Source organism: Homo sapiens, chromosome 1 (assembly GCF_000001405.40).
Source record: "Homo sapiens chromosome 1, GRCh38.p14 Primary Assembly".
Classification (NCBI taxonomy): Eukaryota; Metazoa; Chordata; class Mammalia; order Primates; family Hominidae; genus Homo; species Homo sapiens.
Window position 1 is genome coordinate 158,602,873 of NC_000001.11, and position 26,480 is coordinate 158,629,352.

Sequence of the window (26,480 nt, forward strand, 5' to 3'; positions counted from 1 at the left end):
GCAAACTAATGGTGCAGGCCCAAGAGTCCAAAAGCTGGAGAACTTGGAGTCCGATGTTTGAGGTCAGAAAGCATCCAGCATGGGAGAAAGATGGAGGCCAGAAGACAGTCAGTCTAGTCATTCCACACCCCTCTGCCTTTATCCTAGCTATGCTGGCATCTGGTTAGATTGTGCCCACCCACATTGAGGCTGGGTCTGCCTCTTCTAGTCTACTGACTCAAATGTTAATCTCCTTTGGCAACTCCCTCACAGAGACACCCAGGAACAATACTTTGCATCCTTCAATCCAATCAAGCTGACACAATAATAACCATCACCCAGTGCCAATATACAATGAGATGGAGTAATGTTTGATATCAGAATAGGGTGACTATACTTAACAAAAATGTATGTACTAGGGTGACAGAAGCCCTGAATACCCTGACTTGATTACTATGCATTATGTACGTATAACAAAATATCTCATGTACCCTATACATTTGTACAAACAAAAAAGAAAAAGATAAAGAAAAATATTGAAGAAATAACAGCTGAAAACTTCCCAAATTTGGTGGAAAATATTAATTCACTAGTTCAAGATATTCAAGAAGCCACAAGTAAGAGAAACACATAAGGTACATTCAAGTACATTTTAGTTAAATTTCTTATAGTAAAGAGAAAATATTAAAGCAACTAGAGAAAAATGACACATTATATGAGTGGAAAAATGATACAATTAATGGTAGCATTCTCAACAGAAACTTTTGAAGACAGAGACATTGAAAATGGCATAGAAAGATGAAAGAAAAAAACCCTGATGACTAGTAATTTTATATCCAGTAAAAATACATTTCACAAAGAAAGAAAAAGTGAAGATATTTTCAAATAAATAAAAATGGAGATAATGTATTGCTAGCAAAACTACACCATAAGAAATACTAAGAGAAATCCTTAAGGATGAAGGAACATAAAATCTGATTATACAAGAAAGATTGAAGAGCACTGAAAATGATAAATATTGGTTAAATATAAAAGATTTGCACAAACATAATTTTCTCTTAATTTCTTTATAATAGCATATGCCTGTTCAAAAATTATGACAACGTGTTAGTAGATTTACATAATTGGGACTAAGACATTGCAAATTTTCTACATTTAACTGGAAATAATTCAATGTTAAGTTTAAGTAGATTATGTTAAAAATACATGCTGTAATTGCTAGATCAACAACTAAAACAACATTGCAAGAAAAATAGTTATAAAATCAATTGTTATTTTGTTCCAACATCTAACTCATCTTCCTAACCCCAAAGCAGGGTCCTGGGAATAGTATGGTAAACAAAAGAAAGGCTTCTTAAGTCTACTTACTACTGCCTCACCAATTGACTGTGTTATCTTGGGTAAGTTATTTAATATTTTTCATGCCTCAGTGTTCTTATTGGAAAAATAGGAATAATAATAATACTCACATATTTTATTAAATTTATATAATGAAATTAGTCAATATCTGTTGATGAATACATGTTGCCAATTATCATTGTTGTTTCTATTAAATCAGTCAATGAGTGAAGATGTATGTAGAAGGTGCAACTATTTACACCATTAAGTATATCAGAGAGACATGCATTTTAAGAGTGACAAGTCAGATTAACCTAGTTGTAGGTAGACTTTTGGGACATTTTAAGGTTTCAGAACAATCTGAAGGTGGAAAGTATATCACTTGTCTGGATGCAGATATTGCAGCATTGTTGAAACAAAGGAAGAGGATGAAAATAAGGTAAAGTTGCTTTTAAAATGATGCATCTGAGAAAAAAATGGAATAGACAAATGAGGATGCAGGAATAAATTGACCCTGAAAGAGATCAGAATTTTCTTCAGAATGACTTTGAAACCAGGCACATATCCAAAGTAGTTATATCAAGCTCTTGAGACAGCAGTGGGGAGCAGCTGAATTCTTGTTTCATTTTTAAATTATACATCTTATGGTATAAATTTATAAGCATAAGTCCTTAGTTCTGTAATTTTGGACCAGTTATTTAAAGTCTATTAGGCTCAGTTACACTTCTATAAAGTGTAACTATTAACACTATCTCACTAGGCTGCTGTAAATTTTAAAAGAGATTTATGTTGTGAAAAAAATTAGTGTTTAATACTTAGCACATGATACAATACTTATTATTTAAATCATGATCCTAGTATCTCTTGTTCACATTCCCCTTTCTGCTTTCCCCAAAAGGATATTCCCAACTAATGACAAAAAAACACAATTAGACGTGCTTCCTGAGACAGCACCCATTGGGACTAGAGAATCCTCTGAGAAAGAAGCTGTTTGGATGGAAGAAGGTATTATTTACCACCTGGAACTAGGGGTGTGGAAGAAGATTTCTTTGTATCATTTGGAGACATCACACTGCTCAGAGTAGGAGATTTCAAGATGCATCTCAAGTCTTTCTCCTGTGGTCTATCCTGCTGGGAGGCAGTCTAGTGCATGGGAGCTAAAAGGCAGGACTTGCTTTGTGAGCCTCTTCAGGTCAGCGTGAGTCTGTTCAGGTGAGTGGAGAATCCTCCCTTGACTTATGCTTTGGTTTAGAGTAGAGTTTTTGGAGGCAGCAGTACCTGATTTTGGGCTGAGAGATGCATGCTGCACAACCTGCCTTGAGCCCTGACATTTTCTTCCGTGCTTAACATAGATTCACAGGTAAAAGAAGCCTGCCCTACTCTGCCCAAGGAATTTGGAAAGGGTAAAATGGCTTGGAAGAGGGGTTGTATAGATAAAGTGATTATCGTTGAACTAACTATTTCTTACTCCATATTCATATTAGTGTGTGTTCCATAGTCTCTAAAGAGAGTCATCATTGTATGGGGAAAATAAGGATAGATTAAGAGTCACCATACTTGTTTTCTAATACTGGTTCTGTGTGACTTCAAGAAAGTCACTTCACCTCTCTTGATCTTTGTTACCTGATCTATAAAACAAAATCCATCAAGATCAAGTTTCCCCACCTCCCCACAAAGTTCTAACAAGCAATATGGGTGTGTCCATATGTGTATTCTTATGTGATAGTGTATGTATAAAGACAATATAAACGTATATGTGGTGTGTGTATCTTTATATGTGATGTGTGTATCTACGAATTTGCATGCTATCTATATACATATGTGTTTGTAATGTATGTGCCTGCCTGATATATTTGTGGATATGGCCATTAATAGCAAATGTATAATTTATAGTTTTGAATGTGTAAGATATGCATAATTATGTGTGAATGCTATAAAGCATATATACACCTGCATGTATGTAGTCATACATATGTTTGTGTGCAAGTATGTGCATATGAATGTCTGTGATTGTGCATCTGTGTATGTGTATATGTACATACAGTCATATGGGAATGGACCCATACATTTGTGTCTAATTTAACAAATACTTTTTTGAAGTTTGAGTAGAGTCTAAATCAGAGCTGCCTTTTTAAGTTGCAACAGGAACAAGAGAAAAAGAATCCATATCATCCACCTTTTAAAGAAGTTAGGCATCTACTGGCAAGGTGGAAGAAATCAACAAATCTATCAGGGATATACCTCTCAGAATGGGGCAGACCAACGTAACCTCCTGGAGGGATTTTGTCTTCCTGGGCTTCTCCAGTTCTGGGGAGTTGCAGCTCCTTCTCTTTGCCTTGTTCCTCTCTCTGTATCTAGTCACTCTGACCAGCAATGTCTTCATTATCATAGCCATCAGGCTGGATAGCCATCTGCACACCCCCATGTACCTCTTCCTTTCCTTCCTATCCTTCTCTGAGACCTGCTACACTTTGGGCATCATCCCTAGAATGCTCTCTGGCCTGGCTGGGGGGGACCAGGCTATCTCCTATGTGGGCTGTGCTGCCCAGATGTTCTTTTCTGCCTCATGGGCCTGTACTAACTGCTTCCTTCTGGCTGCCATGGGCTTTGACAGATATGTGGCCATCTGTGCTCCACTCCACTATGCCAGCCACATGAATCCTACCCTCTGTGCCCAGCTGGTCATTACTTCCTTCCTGACTGGATACCTCTTTGGACTGGGAATGACACTAGTTATTTTCCACCTCTCATTCTGCAGCTCCCATGAAATCCAGCACTTTTTTTGTGACACGCCACCTGTGCTGAGCCTAGCCTGTGGAGATACAGGCCCGAGTGAGCTGAGGATCTTTATCCTCAGTCTTTTGGTCCTCTTGGTCTCCTTCTTCTTCATCACCATCTCCTACGCCTACATCTTGGCAGCAATACTGAGGATCCCCTCTGCTGAGGGGCAGAAGAAGGCCTTCTCCACTTGTGCCTCGCACCTTACAGTGGTCATTATTCATTATGGCTGTGCTTCCTTCGTGTACCTGAGGCCCAAAGCCAGCTACTCTCTTGAGAGAGATCAGCTTATTGCCATGACCTATACTGTAGTGACCCCCCTCCTTAATCCCATTGTTTATAGTCTAAGGAATAGGGCTATACAGACAGCTCTGAGGAATGCTTTCAGAGGGAGATTGCTGGGTAAAGGATGAAGGTTACCCCAATAGGACACTTTCTTCTGTGTAGGCTGGGCATAGACCAAGAACCCAAGCCAAAGGGCCAGGTATTCAAGGCCTCAGGCCAAAGCTGTCCTACCCCCAATCTTCTGGGAAAGCCTTATCCTGCCTCTTGCCCTTCCCCCTGACTGCTTGGAATGCAGAGGCGGGGCTTCCTGCTCTGCTCACTGTGCACAACTCAAAATGAGCCCAAAATCTGAATTTTAACTTTCAGCCTCCTAGATGCCACCCCTAGTTACTGAAACCCATTGAGAATTAAAAATTTAATTAAGATAATCAAGAATTTTTTAATTGAGCTGAACAAAATGAGGGAAGTTTGGAGTGTTCAAGTTCAAGGCAGGGCTGGCTGGAGCCCATCAGGGATACTGTAGAGATTTCTAAAATCATTACATAATTAGACTATTTGACCTGTAATGTTCTTCCAAGATTTGAAACCTGGGGAATATCAGCTTGACAGGTTAGTTTAAAGCTTTGTTAAATGAACAGGTGGGTCATTTTTACTCCCACTGGGTGTCTTTCATCTTTTTATGTTTTTATTTTTTTTAATTTCAACTATTATTTCATATACAGTGGGGCACATGTGCTTATACATTCCTCATTGTGCTATTGACAGTAGCAAAAACATGGAATCATCTTTTTATATAGTTGTCCTCACTATCTCTGACTCTGTTACTTTGCCCTTTTTGTTTTGATTGATTTTCCAAGCTGGGTGCACTCTATTTCAGAAAATATATTTACTTCCTATTTTTTTTTATAACTGTTAATGTTCCCTGGTAGCTTCAGAATCTTGAGTGTCAAAGACCTTTCTCATTTGGGTCGCTTATCAAATTGGATACTGTTCTTTTGAATCTATTGCAGAACTATCTATTCTGCCTATTCCACTTTCCACATATAATGTGGTTATATATAGCGGCGGACATTATTAGAGAAAGTGTAATGAACTCACAAGACCGTCAGGCAGGAGTTTGAATCCAAACTCTTCAACTTACTAGCTGTGTGACTCTAGGTAAGTTATTTAACATTTTTTTCAGCTTCCGAGTCTTATCTTTACAATGGTTGGTGACTAAACAGGATCATGCATACAAAGAATTTAGCACAACCCTTGGATCATAGCGATCGTCCAATAAATTCCAGTTGCTACTATTAAAATGTGTGAAGGAAAAAGATATTGGCTTTTAGTTTAGGTAGAGTTTACTCTAGGTGGAGGATCAGAGAAGACTTCATGTCTTAAATAGTATCTGAACTTGTTCCTAAAGGATGGGTGAGCTTTGAATGCACTGACTGGGGAGAAAGTACATTCTCAGAAGAGAGAATGTAATAGCCAAAGGCTTGATGGTAAGACAATATAAGCCTAGTTTAATGTGTGTGAGTTATTCAGAGGGGCTGGAAACAACTCACAAATGATGCTGAGAAGTTAGTTTGAGTCATGACTTACTTGTTGAAATAATTTGAATACCTTGCTTCAGACATGGTCCTTTTGTCTATAGGAGATAAGGCACAGTAAAACGTTGAACAGAGAGAGGCATCTGGGAAGGGATTCAGGAAGATTAATCCAGCAGCAAAGGGGATGATAGATTTCAGTAGAGAGAAACCAGAGGCAAGGAGATCAGCAAGAAACCCATGGATATCAGCTTAAAAAAAGGCAAAGAGGCTTGAATATGGATAGTGACATTCAGAGACTGAAGGAAATCACAAACATGAGATTTTGAGAAGGTAGAATTCACAGGATTTGGCAGTGAGATAGAAGTGGGGCATGGCTTGAGAGACAAGGAAAGACCTTAGGCCGAGAAGATATTTTTCAGACAGAAATCCATATTTTTTCATGCTTTCAGGAAAGAAATACATCCTCTAATTGGAATTTGATGAAAACAATTTGAGAGGAAGGAAGCTAGAGCTCAGAGAAGAGAACAGGATGAAGACAAGTAGATGAGTTAGTCAGATAGCCAAAAGGGCCTCATCAGGGGAGAAAGGCCATCTACTCTGAAGTTCTCAATATTGGAAGAAGTAATGCCTCATTGCACTGAGGCCATGTGAGCAAATTCATTTCACCAGTTCATTCAGTCTGCCCAGCATAACATTGACTAAATGCACAGTGACGAATGGTTAGTAAGGATGTTTCAAGTATTGCTAAGTAATACTTAGAGGTCTAACTTCCACATGTAGTAGTCTTAAGTATGGAAGGGTATAAAATCACTTGGAGGGATTTTTCCAAATAGGTGTTTTTGGAATCTATCTAATTTGTTTCTACCTTGAAACAATTGATTTGGGATAGGGACAACATAATAGTCTTCAAAATCTCGTTTGGTGATTCAAATTTCCTCTCTTGATTAAGTATGTGACTACGCGCTTAGAAAGGGCAAACTCTTCTTCCAGGTACACACATTTGACCCACTAAATGACTAATAATTTGATTTAGGCCTTGAAAATTTTTGGCAGGGTTAGCATTGGGGGAATGGAATCACATCCACCTTTGCTTGTGATTATTTTCAGCACAAATAGTTTTAGACTATCCATATGTGGTAAGTGTGATATTAAACAATGCTAATTTTCGATGGCCTATATCTTTTCTAACTGTACTATTTTTGGTAACTTATAATCAGGCAATTTAGACATTTGTGAACATTAATTTTGAAAATACTTTCTGCTTGTTATATTCCATAGTATTTGACTATTTAAGAAAAGAATCACTAAAATACCTGTATGTTGTTAGTATCAATGATAACTTTTTAGCTTTAACCAACTTTTTGTTTAAAAAAGGCTCCTATGACAGGATTTGTCCTGCACAGATTCATTTCTATGCAGAGGAAGGGACTGAGACTTAAGATGGTAATCAAGTGGCAACATGAATGGATTGGTAAGTGGGGACTATTTGTGCAGAACGCTAGCAGTTTTATACACAGCAATTAAGATATCTAAGAATTCTCACCAGCAAATGACACCATTACCTTTTATAGATCAAATCAGAATGTCGGCATATAAACCTGTTCAGAATAAACCTGGCCTGAAAATTTTTGAAGATAGCATCACCTCTTCTTTTTTTAAAATTAATTCTTAATTTTATAAATAATTCTATTAACTGTTACTTTAACAGGATATTGAAGTATTATTTTTATTACATTAAAACTTAAGAGAAAATACGGGAGCTTGGAGGACAAGAGAAAGCCCTGCTATGCTGGAATTTTGTCTTTCTGAGAGTAATAACATCTACAATAATTTTGAAGTATGGAAAAAAAACAAGAAGAAAACAGGTGTTATGCTGATCTGTGTGTTGTTTCATTGTACAAACTAAAATATTCATGTTCCCCAGAAAATCAAATATCTTTATTTTCAAATTTAAATTTAAACACATTCCAAAGTTTAAAAAAATTGTTTGAAAATTGCCTTGGATTTTATTTATCTACTATACCATGGCCCTTCTTTACAGTAAAATTAGCTGCCCACTCTTATATGAGTACAGTTCCCAGAAATATAGAAGCTCAACATTTTACTTAACTTTGCCCCAAAAAATATTTTTAAAAAGAATTACTTTATTCTATAATCGGAATAAAGCAAAATGATAAAGACGTGCAAAACAGAACAAATAAAAATAGAAACTTTGACACCCCTCAGCAGTGACTAGTTGCATACAAAATAGCTTCCACTCCTCCAACTCTATTAACCTTTCTATCTCCCACCCTTGAGATTTTTTAAGATCCTACAATAAATGTAATATGCACACAAACACAAGCACACACACACACACACACACACACACACACACACGAGGCCATCTTTATCTTCCACATTTGCCTGTACTCTTTGCCCCCCAGTAAATTTCCCACGACACTAAGATTTTCTACGATCCACGAGGAGCTGCTTATTAGTTGCCAAAGTAGGAATTGGTGAAGCCAACGTAGTCATAGCCAGAGAGATGGCTTCGACCCCGTGGGTCCATATATTGCTGCATATGTGTGGCACAGAATGACACTTGCTCTGGGGTAAGGGCCTGAAAAGTATAAAAAGAGAAAAATACAGTTATAGGGATTCAAAATAGCTGGTTCCTTGGGGCTTCCCATATTACGCCATAAATGCAGGAGATGGAGAGTCTCTGGAAGACGCAAGCCCTATTTCTATTACACACAATTTTTATCTCATAAATTTATAATTTCTAATGAGTAACTTAACTTTTAATCTCAGCCCTTTCTTGAAAAAGAGAGCTTACTCACTTTGATTATTCTGTAAATCTCATTCCCTAAAGTTGTTTTATTAAATAGAAGGAATTATATGCCTAACAACATTTGTTGACCACTTGATCTATTTCATCTTCCTGGCTGCTTTGAGATGTGGGGACTAGCATGTTTTATGAGTAAGGTAAAATACTCAAGAAGGTAGAATAACTCACCAGTGGTTACACTGCCAGAAAGTGGTAGAGCTGGGACTTGAACCTATGATCCTCTTATGCCAAAGAGTTCCTCTATTCACTGTGCTGTTTGATTACCAAGTGGATCCCTAAAGACTCCAATAAGTTAGCGTGTGGGTGGGTGGCTCCAGATAGTGTCTGGAAGACCACATCATTTTCTTTTTGTAACAGCTTTGTCGAGGTATGATTGATAAAGAATTGCACCTTTAATGTGTACAGTTTGATGAGTTTAGACAATTGGATGAGTTTGTGCAAAACGATACCATCATGTATGTGACCCTTTGTAATCTGGTTTCTGCTTAATTGTTTTCCCTTTCACTTTCTGTTACTATCTTCTTACCTTATGCTTTAGGTATTAGGAAAATCTGTTTTCTCAAGTTCCTTTGCACACACACTTGCCTTTGCCTGAAACACTTAGGCTTTCCTTTGATGACTTGATGAGTTCCTGCACGTCCTTCAACACTCACCCTGTGTTAATCATAGATGATACTTTCCCTGATGCAAGTATTTTAAGGAGAGGAATGAAGAAAGCTCTTGGAATCAGAGAGAAGAGAGATTACTTCTGGTTGTAATAAAATTCCCCACATCTTTGTTCCCATGACAGATGTGTTTGCTTCTGTTACAGTGTTTTTAACTTGTAAAGTTCTGTCTTCCCCACTACACCTGAATTTAGGGACTGTGTCTTACTAAAGTTTGCACTCCTCATGCCTGGAACATAGTAAGCATTCAATAAATGCTCTTTGAATTAATGAGGAAAAAAAAAAGAAATAGCCTTAAAAACTGAGTTGCAGATTTTGAATTGACTCTCACATTCAATAGAGTACCACAGTACGTTTTTGAGTTGGGTCAAGACAAAATGAAGTGGTTACCAAAGCAAATGACATCTTGTGAAAGGGGAGGTCTGAAAAAAAAAAACAAGTGGGTGGGTTTTTTCAAAGTAGGCCACCGGGCCTGAGATGACCAGAATTCAAATTAGGATGACAGTGTAGTAGGGGAAGCAACCAGAATCGGACCTGCTTCATGTCTTCTTTGGTAATATATGACTTGCCCTCTGCCAGGGCTTGGAAGGCATTCTCTATTTCATCACTGGACTTGATGTTTTCTGACTCCTTGTCAATCAGGAAAGCAGTATAGTCCTCCAGTGAGACATAGCCCTTCCTGTGGGAGAAATGGATCAGGAGCTGAGCCTTCTCAAGGCAGAGAAGGAAGTCCCCTTTTTAATCCTACTCAGTGTCTCAGAAACAGAGGAAAGCCAGATTCTCCAAGTGCCTCTTCCAACTAAGCTTTCTGGGATGAGATGGGTTATGCTCTCCATTTTGGCTCCCCTTCATCACCCTCTTACAGCCAAACATTACTAAGCCAAATATTACTAAATATTACTAAGCTCCAGACTCTGTTTCAACATGGGTCATTCAGCCTGATTCTCGGTGAATTTTGAAATTTCCCATCAGCACCAGTCCTCAAATAATTTCTGGTCTTCTTTGGTTTTTAGTATTAGCAAGAATTATTCCCTAACAGTTACTTGATCTCTTGATGATTCTAACACACTCCCATAAGCACATAACCACCCCAACCCCATGTGTTGGTCTCTGAATCACCTATGTCTCCTTAAAATCTCACATACATGAAGGGATTCTTCTCTCTAGTCTCATCCTCAAAAGTAGCTGAAATTCATAGATTGAACATAAATCATGAATTGGAGAAATTGTAAAGCTAGTCCTCGAGTTAAAGTTAGCACCATTCACTGCTGAGCTAATCTTGAAAGGGCACCAAGAGCTGCCTAATTCATTTATGGTTGCCTATTTCTTCCTATTTTCAGATGAGTTAATTTCATGTTTTATGGATCATTTTACTCTCTGTGCTTCTCCCTCCAAACCCCCATCCCTGCTGCGGTCTGACCCTTAGTCTTGTTCCTACCTCCCTGGATCCACAGCATCCAGGAACTTCTCAAACTTGGGCTCATGTTCATCCTCCTCCACCATGGGCAAGTAGTAATTGAGTCCTCTCAGGCAGGACCGGAACTCTTTGTGAGTCAGGCGCCCTGTCAAATTCTCATCAAAGTGTCTAAAGGATAAAAAAAGAAAAAAAAATTTATCAAGCTCAATAGAAAAACCAAGTGAGAACAGAAAGGAATATGTCTTATTGCGTCAGCTGAAGCTTTATTGACCTGTCACAAAACTATCAGAGGACTGAATACAAAGCCTGTCTGTGTCATGTACATTTTTTTAACCTAATGGATAGAGAGAAAAGCATAAAACATTGAGAATGAAGAAATGTATTTTTTGAAGTCTGAAAATCTCACAGAAAGCCATGACTGGAGCTAATGAGCATATCTAGATCTTCATTTAAGATTCCACCAAGCCTCACAGAGTGAGAGAAACATTATTTGTAGACTCATTCTGAATAATCTGAAAAACAAAGAAGCAGTTAACTATGAAATTATACTCACTTATAGATTGTGCTAAATTCCTTTAGAGTCTCTTCACTCACACCTTTGATGTCCCTGAAAGAAAAAAAAAAAACATGAATTTTCCCTGTATATGAAACACAGGTTAGCAGAACACAAGCCACATGGAAGAGAGAGGAATTTTAATGGACAATTTGCTATTTGAGTCATCTAGTTCAAGAGTTGGCAAACTATAGTCCATGGGCCAAATCTAGGCTGCCACCTGCTTTTGTACAGTCCATGAGCCAAGAGTAGATTTTACATTTTCATATGGTTGAAGACAATCAAAAGAAAATTTTTTGAAACATGAAAATTACATAAAATTTAAATTTCAATGTCCATATATAAAGCTTTATTGGAACATGGCCACGGTCATTCACTTATCATAGCTGCTTTTTTCACTACAACAGCAGAATCAAGGAGTTACAGCAGAAAATATATGTGCCTTACAAAGTTAAATTATTTATTATCAGACCATTTACAGAAAAAGTTTGCCAATCCTAATCTAGATAAAAATGTTGCCAAAATGCTATTGAGACCTAGAGCTGCTTTGATATAGTGAATTTATCTAGAAAATGAGTTTCTGCCCTTCTGCTCTATTTGGCCACACTTTAAATGTTTCTTTTAATCTAGACATTACATTTTAGATAAAATTCTATGAAAGGGAATGGTTTCCTAAGAGATCACATAAGATGGTGAAAGAACTCTGAGAAATTGGGTATAAAAGTCAGTTGTTGTCCAAGTGGGTGATGAGTAGGCTCAGGTGGATGGAGAGCACTGTCTTTTATTTCATGATGGATTTCAGTATAAAGAGAAATAGTCATTCCGTGGGGCAGTAAAGACCCAGAATATTGGTTCTCTGAAGCAACTCTTTTATCTGGTGCACCAAACTCTCGCCCTTAGTTAAGGTCCTAACACCTAACACCACCTGCATCCCTCCCTGCTCTGGCCACACGCCCTCAATACTTGGCCTGGATCTGTTGCTCCAGGTTGTGTTGCATCCGCAACCCAAGCTGGTAGAGCTGGTCCCACTGCTGAGCCAATCCAATGGTGCTGTATTTGATATCAAGGATCAGAGCGTCTTCCAAGTTGTCCCCCAGGTCCACAATCTTGGTTAGTTGACGCTTCATCGCCTGGATCTCCTTCTGTTTTCTCTGGAAAAACGACAGAGAAGAGAGACAATTAGTTGCCCAGGTTACCAGCTCAAAACCTAGAGGTGGAAGAGGAGATAACAGGCTGATTTTATTTTCAGGAATCTTCTTGTTCTCTGTGAAAAGATGAACTACTTGGGAAAACCACTTCACTTCTATAGTCCTCATTTATAAAATAATGGGAAGTTTAGGTGAATAAAACTTGTCATTCTGGTATTCTGCAACATATAAATCTAAGAGTTAGTAGTTATACACACACACACATACATCTATATCTATATATTCTTTCTATCTATCATCTATCTATCATCTATCTATCTGTCTGTCTATCATCTGTCATCTATCAAGAGAGCCAATAAAGAAAAATAAAATTTCCAGAGTCCATGCATCATCAATGGCTCACAGTGATCTGCACTGGGACTTATCTGCAACACTGATTGTGGCTGAGCTCTCAGGCTCACTTAAGCTCCACAGTGTTCACTCCTGGGCCACTTTCATCAACTTGGGATGATTTTCATGGGCTGCTCCTGCCATGCAGACATGTTTTATGCCAAATTTCTGCATCTTGCCCATGCTTTCTCAGTGAGGGAATATTGCTCATAAGGGTAAGTGTGAATTTATTCTGATGATTGTGGAGTGCAGTGAAAAAAATGTGGGATATGACAAAGCTTGTAGCCTTTCAAAGGTCAAATTTGCCTGACATCTTTTTTTTAAGTTTCATTTATATATAATAGATGTACATACTTCAGGGTATACAAGACAATTTAATACATTCATATAATTTGTAAAGATCAAATCAGTATATGTTGGATGTCTATTACCTTAAATATTTGTCTTTTCTTTATGCTAGAAACATTCAAAGTATTTTCTTCTAGCTATTTTAAAATATACAAGGTATTATTGTAAACTATGGTCACCCTACTGGTCTATCAATTACTAGTCTTATTTCTTCTATCAAACTGTATATTTATACCCAATAATCAACCTCTCTTCATTCCTCTATCTCCCCCTACCATTCCTATCCTCTAGTAATCTCCAATATACTCTCTGTCTTCATGAGATCCATTTTATTTTGCTCCCACCTACGAGTGAGAACATGCAATATTTGTCTTACTGTGCTTGGCTTATTTCACTTAATATAATGACATTCAGTTCCATCCATGTTACTGAAAATGTCAGAATTTCATTTTTTAATGGACAAATAATATTCCATTGTGTATACCATGATTTCTTTATCAGTTAATCCATTGATGAGCAGTTAGGTTGATTCCATATTTTGGCTATTGTGAATAGTCTCCCTGTTATCTCCTGTCATAAACATGGGAGGGCAGATATTTCTTTGATATATTAATTTCCCTTCTTTTAGATATATACCCAGTAATGGGATTGCTGAATCATATGGTCTTTATCTTTTTAATTTTTTGAGGAATTTCCATACTGGTTTCCATAGTGGCTGTACTATTTCCACTTTCTCTACATCTTCACCAGCATCCATTATTCCTTGTTTTTTTAATAAAAGCCACTTTAACTCAAGTGAGATGACAGTCAAAACTACCTGACATCGTATTCTCTAGTATTTCATTTTTTTGTTAGAAAAAAATTAAATGTCATTACTTAATTTTTTTCTCCTGCAAGAATAATAGTAAAAAAAAAATGTTGAGAAACACTGTTCTAACCCATTACTTCGCTCAGTTGTCAAGAGATGATTAGATTCAATTGTATCATCTTACTACGTCATATAATAACAGAAATTTGCCAGTGTTGGGCACTTTTACATTTGCTCCTTTACTTCATCATCATGTTCTAAATCCTTTGTAGCCACAAAACGTGAAACCACCCACCCACTGTTCCCAAAGCCTCTCCCACTCTGGGCAGATCAGAGTCTCCCATGAAATTCTTTCTTCAGGGCAAACAGTGACTCTACAATGGGTACTAACTCTATTGTGTAGATGCAGAAATTGAAATTCAGAGATTTAAGTAGACTGAGGTTTATATTCATGATGTGATGGCCTATGGTTAAAATGGACTTCAGGTGATACATACCTAAAAGTATCACCTGGGCTTCCCTTAGGTGATTATTTTTACACTCCTTATAATTTTGGCAATATCTTCAGTTAATGAAAAAACAATACTTACTTTATTTGCTTCCAGCTGAGATTCCAGAGTTCCTGTTTCTTTGAGCAATGATCTAGTTAAGAACCGAAGGAAATCATTATGCATCACATCACAGGTCAATATTTCATACATGCATACCAACTCGAAGCTCCTCTGTTTCAACTTCTCCAAGGTTATGTGGCTTACATGAAGCAAAATTTCACAGAGCCAAATTTTCACAACCTTGCCAGACTGATGAGAAGGGAAGACTTTCCCTAGTTCTTCTCTGACTAGGAGAAGGCTTTCACATACCCCTCTTAATTATTCTTCTTAAATACACACTTAAGCAATGTAGGCAAGATTCCGTCTAGTGAAGTATAAGGGCAGAATGAAATATAATGAGCTTTTCCTTCTCACTCCACATTTTTATTTACATACTACCAGATTACAATGGAATGAAAATGTCTCAGCACTAACTCTTTCTTAACGAATTCTTCCATAATAATATAATAAAGCAAACATGATGATAACATAAAATACTGACCCATCCAGAAAGTAAGCCCTGGACATGGAGGTCCGGAACAGGAATCACATGAGAGAAAAGGGAGATGATATGTTAAAATGGATTACTTTAAAGATCTCATTTCCTCAGATTTATGAAACATTTTAAATCTTTTGTTGCCACAAAACATGAATCTGTCCACCCACTGGTTCCCAAGGCCTCTCCCACTCTGAGAAGATCAGAGTCTCCCATAAAGCTCCTTGCTTCAGGACAAGGAGCACCAATGTCAAGGAATATGCTTGGTGTTGGACACACATTGCCAGGATGTGATGAAGTCACCAAGAAAAGAGGAAGAGAAGGGTGTTCTGTGTCTTCTCTGCCTTCTGTCAGATGGTTTAGACATGGTATAGGATTTCTTTTTGTTCATTTATCGTTGTCAGTGAGTATGTAGAAAAGTATATATCATGAATTGTCTAAACCACCACATTAACCCTCAAAACACCACAGTTTTGACACACCTACTGGATACAACTTTGACCATGTATTCTAATATATTACATCTTCTAAGTCTCCTTTTTCTAGGTCATTTACCCCAGAAGATGTGACATATGTTATCTTCAGGTACAGAACAGTTTGCTATTAATAAGCACAATTAACATAAATTATCTCACTTGATTCTCATTAGAACTTTAGTAGGTACACAACAGAATAGCTTCATATGAGGTATTCATAGAAGATTCTGCTTCTGGTTATGCCAGTAAATATATATGTGACCTTGAGCAAGTAAATTTATCTACTTGAACTTTCCACACTTGGAAACAGAGCTAATAAGAGCTGCTCTGTATGCTTTTCAAGGTTGCTCCGACAGTTAAGTGAGGTAATGGATATGGAAGTACTCTGTAAAGTGCAATATGGCATGTGAACATAAGAAATTGTTATTATTTTGGACTGAAATTACAGGCAACAGAAAGAAAGGTGAGAGTATCAAGGAGAGAATACAGAAGTGTACATAATAAGCAGAAGGATGAAATTGTCATTTCTTGGTTTTCCAAGAATTGATTCAGAAAACAGTCAACTCCAAATATAAAGCATAGGCAAGATATGGGGATTTTAGGGCAGAATACATGCTCTCAGAGTCTCTCCTCTTCCCTTCAAACATGTATTTCATCCCTATGGCAAATGGTGGTGGCACAGGGGTCATGGTTTGGGATGTAGCATAGCACACCTGGTTTCCAGGATCCATTGAAGGAAGGTACTGGCATTCTGTTCAAACTCCTGACACATCTCAAAGTTCTTGACCTGTCTTGCCTCTTCCTTTTGCAGCTCCTGCTCCCGTTCCTAAAACCCCAAATCACAGACAACGTGACTGACATCGAAGGCCTTTCTTTGCCATAAGAGAATTGGTTTGTAGGCTTAACTGCATATCTTTCCTCTCTCAAGTCTAACCTATCTTCCACAGGTATGTGCCTGTGTGCTCATATTTCATGCAGTCAACCTCTCTCACCTCTAAAATGTAAAGATAGCCTGTGTATTTCCCAAGAGTACTTGCAGGGTCCTCTAAGACCAAGTCCCGTAACAAGTAAGCTAGTAATAAAAGCAAACCTCTCCTGTTTATAATTTCTTTTGGGGAAATTTAATTTAAATGAACACAAAAGCAGCCTTAAAGGGCCTGCTACCCTTAGAAACAATAGTTACTATCTAAAAATGGTGATATTGTGGTTAGTTTTCTATTACACTTTTTATGTTTCATAGTTTCAATAATGAACATTATTAACACAGACAAAAGCTAAAAATACATACGTAGCAAGGCACTTTTGGAGGTGTATATAAAAACGAAAATGTCTTGAATGAGGGGGATATGTAGACAATGAATACATATAAAGCCTCATGAACTTTTCATAGCTCATCATTAGAACCATGTCTTGGGGCTTCTGTTTGCTTCTCAGAATCATTGTTCAATACTCAAAAACAGGAAACTGCCCAAATTATGGGGCATAGGGTATACCTATGATAAACATATTTTCCAGTTTTTCTTAGACAGTCATGTTTCATGACTTCTGTCCCAGTATAGTTATTAATAGTGTTCCTTCTATGTCAAAAGTCTATTTACTTGGATAATAAAGTGGTTATGTTCACTGTAGTGAAAGGAAGTTTCTGCCGTGTTCCAGGTTACCTCAATGATGTCAGATAGGTGCTTCCAGGTCCTTTCCAGCACCTCCACTGTTAACCAGGTATAAGGGCTGGAAGGCACACCTAAGGCCTTAATCTGCTGGTCTAGCTCCAGCAAACATTTAAAGTCTGCTTGAGCCCTAGCCAGGGAGGCCAAGAAGTCCTCATGGTCTTTCTGCAGCTGCCGAATTTCATTCAGGGAGACACAGTGCACAGGCTCTGACAAGTTTTCTTCCATCTTTTCACACCAGTTGTTCAAAGCTGAAGCCTTATGTGCAAATTCCACGAACAGGTCCTCAGCCTGCAGAGAGAAAAAAAAGACACTACCATCTTTCCTGATAAAGCCTCTCAGCAGAAGAGAAGATTGAGGATAAAAATAATGCCTGTCTTTAAATATCTGCAGGGCCACCAATCTAAAAGGGCAGAACTAAAACCAATAGGGACTGTGTACTTTGATGGTTGAACATGTGAGTTAGCGGTACGAGCCCTGGTTCTGGCATTTTCTCATTGTGTGAAATTGTTTAAGTCTTTCATCATTTACAAATGAGGGAGGTCGAATTATTTCTAAAATTATTTCAGTTTTAAAATTCCAAAAGTAGCAAAGGTAGTTTTCAATTATATGATTTCTTGTTCTAAAGTCTATCCTCCAGTTCTACCCGGCAAGTAGTAAACATGAAAAAAAAAAAAAAAAAAAAAGCATTGAATGAATGGATGAAATAATGATTGAATAAACAAACCAAGAAAATCTGTTATCTCCTTTATCTTATTATCCTACAAGCTTCTGTAGACCACACCCAGCTGACTTCTCTTTGACAAGGCTATGTCATTTTCCTACCTTCCTTTTAAACCTTGTTCAGGCCTCATTTTATGCCTGAAGCTTTTCAAACCACTGCTTAAACTTATCTTCTACCCTCTAACCTGTATCCTTAGCACAAATATATGTATCATTGTATTACTGTCTGGCATTATCCAAGTGCTCTGAATAGCTCTGAATTTTCTGTATTACTGAATGACAGAAAAAGCATGAATTTTTTCAAACAGCAAGTGATCAAATATACTTTTATACTTAAAATACATTACAGATTTTGGGTCAGCAGATAGTACTTCTAAAGAGGTTTGTCTTGAGCAAACATAAAAATGAATTTTTCATTCCCAAATACAAGAATTAAAAAGAAGAAAACTGGCCCAAATGGAGGGAGGATTTCAAAGGTATTAAACCGTTACATCTGACCCTGTACTCATTTCAGCAATCTATATGCCAAAATAGATCAATACAGAGAAAATTAACATGACCTCTACACAGAAAGGACACAGAAACCTATAAAGTATTTAATATCTTTTTCATAATGTTATAGATTGAGTGAATATTTTATAAATATCTTGTAATCAGAAAATAAACAAAACTCATTGTAGTTTGAAATTATTTTAAAAAGAAGATTAAAAATATGAAGGAGCTTCCTATATAGAATGCACATATATGTGTAAAGTTGCCCACTTAATTGATTTAATTTTTCACCTAAGATTTATTTGATGTAGGCCCTATGTTTTTCAAAAGTGTGGAAATTAACTAAGACTCTGATTTGACTTTTACTCATGTGTTATTTCCTAAATTCCCTAACTCCTTGACTTAATTTGTTACCAAGTACAATGATTCTTAGGGTCTAGGAGTGCTCAGTAATTCCACTGACCATTCTGATTTCCTTTTATTTATTTTTTGAGATGGAGTCTTGCTCTGTCGCTCAGGCTGGAGTACAGTGGCCGCGATCTGGGCTCACTGCAAGCTCCATCTCCCGGGATCACGCCGTTCTCCTGCCTCAGCCTCCTGAGTAGCTGGGACTACAGGTGCCCGCCACCACGCCCGGCTAATTTTTTGTATTTTTAGTAGAGACGGTGTTTCACCGTGTTAGCCAGGATGATCTTGATCTTCTGATCTAGTGATCCACCTGCCTTGCCCTACCAAAGTGCTGGGATTATAGGCGTGAGCCACTGCACCTGGCCTCCTTCCATTATTGATATTTTTATGATCAACATCCAATGCCTTAGCAGCCAACATTTGAAGGAATATTTTGATTACATATTTATATGGAATTTTATATGGATGTAGTAATGTAATAATGTTACATTATTATATTAATCCATATTAATCATACATATTTATTATGTATTATTAATGTACATATATTTAGGTACATATAATGTACATATAATTATGTATTATTAATACACACATATTACAACCATACATATTTATATGAATGTAATAATGTAATAATATGGAATTATTACACTTTTAGATTCATTATCTTTTTTAATAGTGATAACAGAAAGGCAGAATAGAATGGTGATGCTACTCAATTTTCTAAATGGGGATATCAAGGTTTAGAGATATTAAATGACTTTTACAAGGTCTTCAACCTAGGAAAGCTTGATATAAGGTGAGAACATGTTTTATGACAACTTGTCCAGTGCTCCTTTTATTTGGGTTAGGAAAAGTACAGGGACAACCTTGACTTTTGCCTGACAGTTTTAATTCTATCATACACAAAGACCTCCCATCCTCTTGTTCCATCCACCTCTTCCACTGTTTGCCTGGCTTCCATCTCAAGTTAGTTATGCAACTAATCAATCAATCTAAAAAAAATTTTTAAAGCTTCTTTTCAATCTACTTTTTGCTCAGTAAGAATGTCTTCCCAACATCTTTCAATGCAATAAAAGGTTTTTGTATTATCCAAACTGAGTTTCCAATATCTGTTTCCGAATTTCATGGCTAATATACAGGTAACAGAGAACTGATCATGCCTCATAATTTTTTTAAACCTTCTGTAGAGGCAGCTGTTTCTCCAGCAATTTCTGTCTGTGGACTGCCGAGGCTTCCAGCAACTGTTCCCAGCGCTTCAGCAGAGCGGCATAACGCTCTTCAATGGCTTTAGACTGGTTGTGTTGAGCAGAAATCAGTTTGTCCTTCAGGTCAGTGATCTCGGGAAGTCTCTCTTGCTGGAAACTCTGCAGACTGGCATCCAGAGTGTCCTGAGAAAGATCAGGAGAGAGGCCGTGAACAAGAAAATGGTGCAAGGGTCATTCACATCTGGGTTCCACCAGATTTTAATCATAGATAAGGCTAGGCAAGAATTAAGATGATGATTAAGAAAAAGGAAATATAACTTAGAGATGTAAGCAAACATTTGGGGCTGAAAGCTCCAGTTTATGTATATTTTACAATTAGATTTTATGTTAGGTATAAAATTAATTGATATGGTTTGGTTTGACTGTGTCCCCACCCAAATCTCAAGTTGAATTGTAGTTCCCATAGTCCCCATGTGTCATGGGAGGGAGCCAGTGGGAGGTAACTGAATCATGTGGGCAGTTACTCTCATGCTGTTCTTGTGATAGTGAGTGAGTTCTCACAAGATCTGATGGTTTTATAAGGGGCTTTTCCCCCTTTTGTGCAGCACTTCTTTCTGCTGCCTTATGAAGAAGGATGTGTTTGTTTCCCCTTCCGCCATGATTATAAGTTTCTTTAGGCCTCCCCAGCCATGCTAAAATACGTCAATTAAACCTCTATTCTTTATAAATTACCCAGTCTTGGGTATGTCTTTATTAGCAGTGTGAGAACAGACTAATACAGTACATTGGTACAGCAGAGACTGGAGTGCTACTATAAAGATACCTGAAAATGTGGAAGTGACTTTGGAACCGGGTAACAGGTAGGGGTTCCTGGGCTGGGCCCAGGGCTCCCTGATTTGTGTAGCCTAGTGACTTGGTGCTCTGCATTCAGCTGTTCTAGCTGTAGCCAAAAGGGGCCAAGGTGCAACTCAGATCATGGCTTCAGAGGGTGCAAGCCCCAAGACTTGGCAGCTTCCATGTGGCATTGAGCCTCCATGTACACAGAAGTCAAGAATTGAGGTTTGGGAGCTTTGTAGATTTCAGAGGATGTATGGAAACACCTACATACTGCAGGGGTAGAAGTCTACTGCAGGGGCAGAGTCCTCATGGAGAACCTCTGCTAAGGCAGCACAGAAGGGAAATGTGGGATTGGAACACCCGCCCCTGACAGAGCCCTCACTGGGGTACTGCCTAGTGTCCTCCAGACTCCAGAATGGTAGATCCACCAACAGCTTGCAACATGGACCTGGAAAAGCTGTAGACAATCAATGCCAGCCCATGAAAGCACCTAGGAGGGAGGCTGTACCCTGCAAAGCCACAGGGGTGGAACTGCCCAAGGCCATGGGAGCCCACCCCTTGCATCAGTGTGCCCTGGATGTGGGACATGGAGTCAAAAGAGATCATTTTGGAACTTTAAGGTTTAATGACTGTCCTGTTGGATTTCAGACTTGTATGAGGCCTGTAGCCCTTTGTTTTGGCCAATTTATCCCATTTGGAATTAGTATATTTACCCAAAGCCTGTACTCTCATTGTATTTAGGAAGTAACTAACTTGTTTTTGATTTTACAGACAATCTCATGGAGCTAAAGAGACATAACTTGGCATAATGGGTAACTGTCAGCCAGGATTTGAGGGGCTATAATAAGGAAACTGCAGAAAAGTAGTCAATATTGTATTTTCCCCTCAAAGCATTTTAGATGCCAAAACTGTATAGGGCACAAGTCTAGAAGCCAAGCAGAAATGGTAGCTAAAAATGTAAAATCCTAACTAGAATTTTCAGTAGTGACACAATGCTGACTTCAGGACCCATCAGGTAGGAGCAGCCCTGGTTAAAGGGCTTCCATTGAAATGCCTGAAAGGCCACAGAGGCAAAGTGAAAAAGGTGAGTCTTCAAAGAAATTGAAATTTTGTCCTGGATCATTTCAATCCCTGACCAAAAAGTAGGGGTTGGATGGCAGAGGGTGTTGTTATAGCTTTAAACCAAAGTTCATGAGTTAATTATAATACTTTAAATGTAAACAGACTCACTTTTTCCATAAAATTATCAAATTAGATAAAGTAATACCCAACTATACAATATTTACAAAAGGCACATACAAAATATGGAGATAAAAATGTTTCAAAAAACCCTAAAAAGTGGAAATAGATATTTCTGCAGATACTAAAAAAATGTTGGTGCAGTATACTGGTATCTGAAAAAGTACACTTTAAATCAAGAAATGTAATTCAAGATAAAGAGGAACATTTTATAATTAAAAGTATCAGTCTGTCAAGATGATTTCACAATTCGAAATGTCAACACATCTTTTAGCCTATCCTCAAAATTTATAAAAATAATGAAGTATTTAAACAACATGATTAAAAATGAAAATCTGGTTGGTAATATAAACCACTGCAAAATACACATTCTTTTCAAATGTACATACAATATACAATAAAATAGACTGTTGCTGGATATAAATCAAGTTTCTGAAAAATATAGAATATATTTTTAAAATACAGTGGAATTAAACTAGATATAAATATCAAAAAGATAATGAGAAAAGTCCCAAATATTTGAAATTAAATAATACACTACCAAATAATAAAAAGATAATAGAATAAACCAAATAAGAAATTTCAAAAAAAATTAACTGAATGATAAAAGAAATGACAAAATTTGCAAAATGCAGCTAAAGCTTTGCTTTGGGAAAAATTATATATTTAAAATCGATATGTTAGAAAAGATGAAAGGCTAAAATTTTGATAATCTAATTGTACATCTCAAGAAATTAAAAGAAAACATTAAAGTAATTCCAAATAAAGTAAAAAAAGATAATAATATATAAAGCTTTTAATGGAATAGAATACACAAAAACCCAGAGAAAAATTAAAAAGCTGAATGTTGGTTGTCTAAAAAAAAATTGATGAAAACCCAGTAGCAAGATTCATGAGAGAGAGGGAAAAAATAATAATTAGGAAATTATTAATATTAAGAAGGGAAAATCTTACAGAGGCTACAGACAATAAAATCCCAAAATTCAGAAATAAATAATCATGGAGGATGAGCTTCTGTGTGAATCAGGTCTTGGGCTTACCTAACATCTATCAATCTCACCTGTTTTGCCAGAAGAGTGAGGAAGTCACCAAGGTCTGCACCATTGCCATTGGTCTTTAGGCTTGTTTCCTTATCAGCTAAAAGGCAAAAACAATTAAGAAGAGAAAGACATTTGGTCTTGTTTGAGTCCTGGGAAGCAGAAAAGGAATATTTACAACACACAACAAGAAAGCTTCTTGACTCTCAAAGTTGATGATTAATTGGAATATGTGAGCAGTGGGACCAATGGATCGTTTTTCTACCTAGGCAGGATAAAACTTAACGAAACAGAGCTAGGGTCTTGAGAGCTTTTGAGTACTTCATAGAAAAAAAAAGAGAAATTGTAGATTAGATATGAATTGTAAGTAAATCTAACAAACATTTTAGATTGTTTCTTAGAACATTTTGCTATGGCTTTCCCTTTCTCAATGTCACACACAAAATCTCCAATTCTCCAAAAATGTGTTCTCTGGAGTTACGGTACATAATTACTGCATCATCATTTCTATCTCTTTCTCACTTTGTGTGTGTGTGTTTATGTGTGTGTGTATGTGTGTGCAAATGTGAGTGTAATTCTGTCCAGAAAGGATAGGAATGGGTAGTGATGGAAACACCTCCTTTCATACAGTAAAAGTCCCAGAGACCATTCTACACATGGATGGGATTTATTAGGGTTTCTCAAACCCAAGGGACCCTGAACCTGACACATCATACCTATCCAAGCCTCTACCACATCAGCCTTCCAGTTGAATTCCTGAAAGGCATAATCGTCTTCCAATTGCAACTTCCAAGCAGCTATTGCCTTAGCCAGAGAAGGGGTCTTTTCATTCAGAGCCTCTATCTTGGAAGAAATCTCTTTGTTCTGACTTTCCTCCTGCAACACCTGTGAGAAGGGGAGAGACAAATATATTTATAATGTGCAGGGCTGGAAATGTGAATCCATTAGTACCAATAGAAAGCACTCATCTCTCCCATTTCAAATATATAACCAAGTGTGACCGTCTTAGTTTGTGTAAGTTTCTAGGAGGTAGGGAGTCATCTCTGTTTAATGGTCTTTATATAGCAGTTAGATCAATGAGGATTTATTAAAAACTACATTTAAAAAAAGGAATGATTCTCAAATTTAAAAGAGCTTTCAGTGTTGTTTTCCTCTTAGAGGCTTAGAAAGCAATTTCTTCAAATTCTTATAATATTCTATGGCCAAAGCTAGTGATAAGACTTTTATAAACACCATGCTCTGTATAGGACAACAAGATGTCAACAAAGGATTTAAGGAAAACTGAAATGTGTATGTATAAGAACTTGAAAAAAGAATTACAGCAATTGAGTAGATAATTATTTGCTAACCACAACAACAACAAAAGGCAGTTTAGAAGAGATTGTTAAAGTTCTGCATATGATCTTAGCACTGCTCTCTGCATATGATCTTAGCATTTCTACATTTGGGCCAGTCCCTTTTGGAGAATGGAAGTTTGAGCTGGAATTCCTGAACTAGCTCACCTTATTTAGGATGTCTTCTCCTTGTGCACACACATTTTGTACTCGGGTCTCATGGACAGCAAAGTCATTTTCCAAAGCTTCATGCTTCATTAGCAAGCTCTGCATAAATAAGTCGGTGAGAATTAAGATATCCAAAGCCGGAAAATCTATATTCACTCATATTCAGACTCACGGGTCTATTATTCCCTAGGGTTGATTCAATGAAATTGGCAGACTAGGTGAATGCCCACTTTTTCTGGAATAACTATACTCAATTGCTTTCTCAAATTCTCACTTGTCACTGAGTGCAACTTACTGGAAAAAAGAGTCAAAGATATACAAGTGACATTCTTTCTAATTTATTATGTGACTAATCTTATTTTGATTTTGGAATGAGGGTTTTGACTGGGGTCGTATATAAAGATTCCTCCATATTGAGATTTATCTAATTCAATGAAACAATGTGTCTAGCAGAAAAAAATTTAGTATCAAGAACATCCTAAACTAAGCCCTGATCCTAAAGAGAAGTTAAGGGGAACATGGAGCTGCCACTGACGATTACTCCAATAGTTCTCTGACTGCTTTCTGGAAACATGATGTCTGTGTAGCTGGCAGAATGAAAAGAGAAGTGAGGCTGAAGCATGAAGAGTGGTACTTTGTCTTCTGTTGTACCTTCCAGAGAAATATCTATAAAAGCCCATAATCACCACCACCATGACCACCCACCACTGCCACTGCTCCCACTACTGCCTTCACCTCCCTCTTGTCATAAAAGCACTCTGTCAATTTTTTTCCTATACAACATAGTAAGTCAGGTTAAAGGAAGAAAGAGAATTTCTATGACTATTATACTTTTTCAAAATCCCTATTGAAAATAAAAGGACTTTCAGTTCATGGTGTTGAGGCACTAAAATAAGATGGTTACTCATTGTAAAACAAGATGGACTACATTATATATTATGACTGTATTACATTTTATTTTTTGAAGAAACGGTAAATGAATATTGGAAAGGTGATTGACTTTGTATGACTGAAAGCCTGAATGAATCATATTTTTATATATGTATACTGCATGAAATAAAGTATCTTTAACATCTTCACCTTCGCCTTCTATTTTCAAATAATAAATTCAAAAATAAAAGAAGAAACATTAGAACTGTTGTCAAAGAAATAAAAGAGATCACAAGAAAAGATTACAAATAATTATATGCCAATAAACTAGAATATCTAGAGAAAATAGATAAATTCCTAGAAACAGACAACTTGCAAAGACCAAATCATGAAGAAAGTCCAAACAGACCTATAACTACTGTGGAGACTGAATCAGAAATAAACCTCTCAACAAAGAAAATCCCAAGACCAGATGGCTTCACTGATGAATTAAATCAAATATTTAAATAATTAATACCAATTATTCTCAAACTGTTTCAAAAAATTTAAGAGGAGGGAACATTTCTAAACACCTTCGCAAAGTCAGCATTACCCTGACACCAAAGCCAGGCGATAATTCTCTCAATAGATAGATAGATAGATGATAGATAGATAGATAGATAGATATGTCTATCAAGAGAGACAAAATATATCTCTATCTATCTATCTATCTATCTATCTATCTATCTATCTGAATATAGAGGGCCTAATATCCTTAATATTCTTATTGAATATAGATGCAAAACTCCTCAACAAAATACTAGCATGTTGAATCCAGCAGCACATTAAAATGATTATATACCACAAACAAGCAGAATT

The 26,480-nt window shown here is 37.1% G+C and overlaps 2 protein-coding genes across 7 annotated transcripts in view; one reads left to right on the forward strand and one right to left on the reverse strand.

Moving 5' to 3' along the window:
* Positions 1 to 2,395: 2,395 nt before the first annotated feature.
* Positions 2,396 to 9,642, forward strand: OR10Z1 (olfactory receptor family 10 subfamily Z member 1). Its single transcript, NM_001004478.2, has 2 exons — positions 2,396 to 2,529; positions 3,454 to 9,642. The coding sequence occupies exon 2, from the start codon at positions 3,567 to 3,569 to the stop codon at positions 4,506 to 4,508; it is 942 nt and encodes a 313-aa protein (NP_001004478.1). The 5' UTR covers positions 2,396 to 2,529; positions 3,454 to 3,566; the 3' UTR covers positions 4,509 to 9,642.
* Positions 7,832 to 26,480, reverse strand: part of SPTA1 (spectrin alpha, erythrocytic 1) — a 76,012-nt gene continuing 57,363 nt past the window's right edge. For 3 of the 6 annotated variants that reach the window (XM_011509916.3, XM_047428883.1, NM_003126.4), the window contains 13 exons: positions 24,753 to 24,851; positions 23,967 to 24,135; positions 23,274 to 23,350; positions 20,111 to 20,320; positions 17,298 to 17,594; positions 16,350 to 16,462; positions 15,167 to 15,184; positions 14,665 to 14,716; positions 12,344 to 12,531; positions 11,381 to 11,434; positions 10,849 to 10,995; positions 9,945 to 10,089; positions 7,832 to 8,517 (listed from right to left, as the gene is read on the reverse strand). In XM_011509916.3, the coding sequence (XP_011508218.1) occupies positions 8,392 to 8,517; positions 9,945 to 10,089; positions 10,849 to 10,995; positions 11,381 to 11,434; positions 12,344 to 12,531; positions 14,665 to 14,716; positions 15,167 to 15,184; positions 16,350 to 16,462; positions 17,298 to 17,594; positions 20,111 to 20,320; positions 23,274 to 23,350; positions 23,967 to 24,135; positions 24,753 to 24,851 (1,695 nt within the window). In that variant the 3' untranslated portion in view covers positions 7,832 to 8,391. Of the gene's footprint in view, positions 8,518 to 9,944; positions 10,090 to 10,848; positions 10,996 to 11,380; positions 11,435 to 12,343; positions 12,532 to 14,664; positions 14,717 to 15,166; positions 15,185 to 16,349; positions 16,463 to 17,297; positions 17,595 to 20,092; positions 20,321 to 23,273; positions 23,351 to 23,966; positions 24,136 to 24,752; positions 24,852 to 26,480 lie in introns of those variants that run through there. The other 3 variants (XM_011509917.4, XM_011509918.4, XR_921911.4) reach the window with 3 other exon arrangements.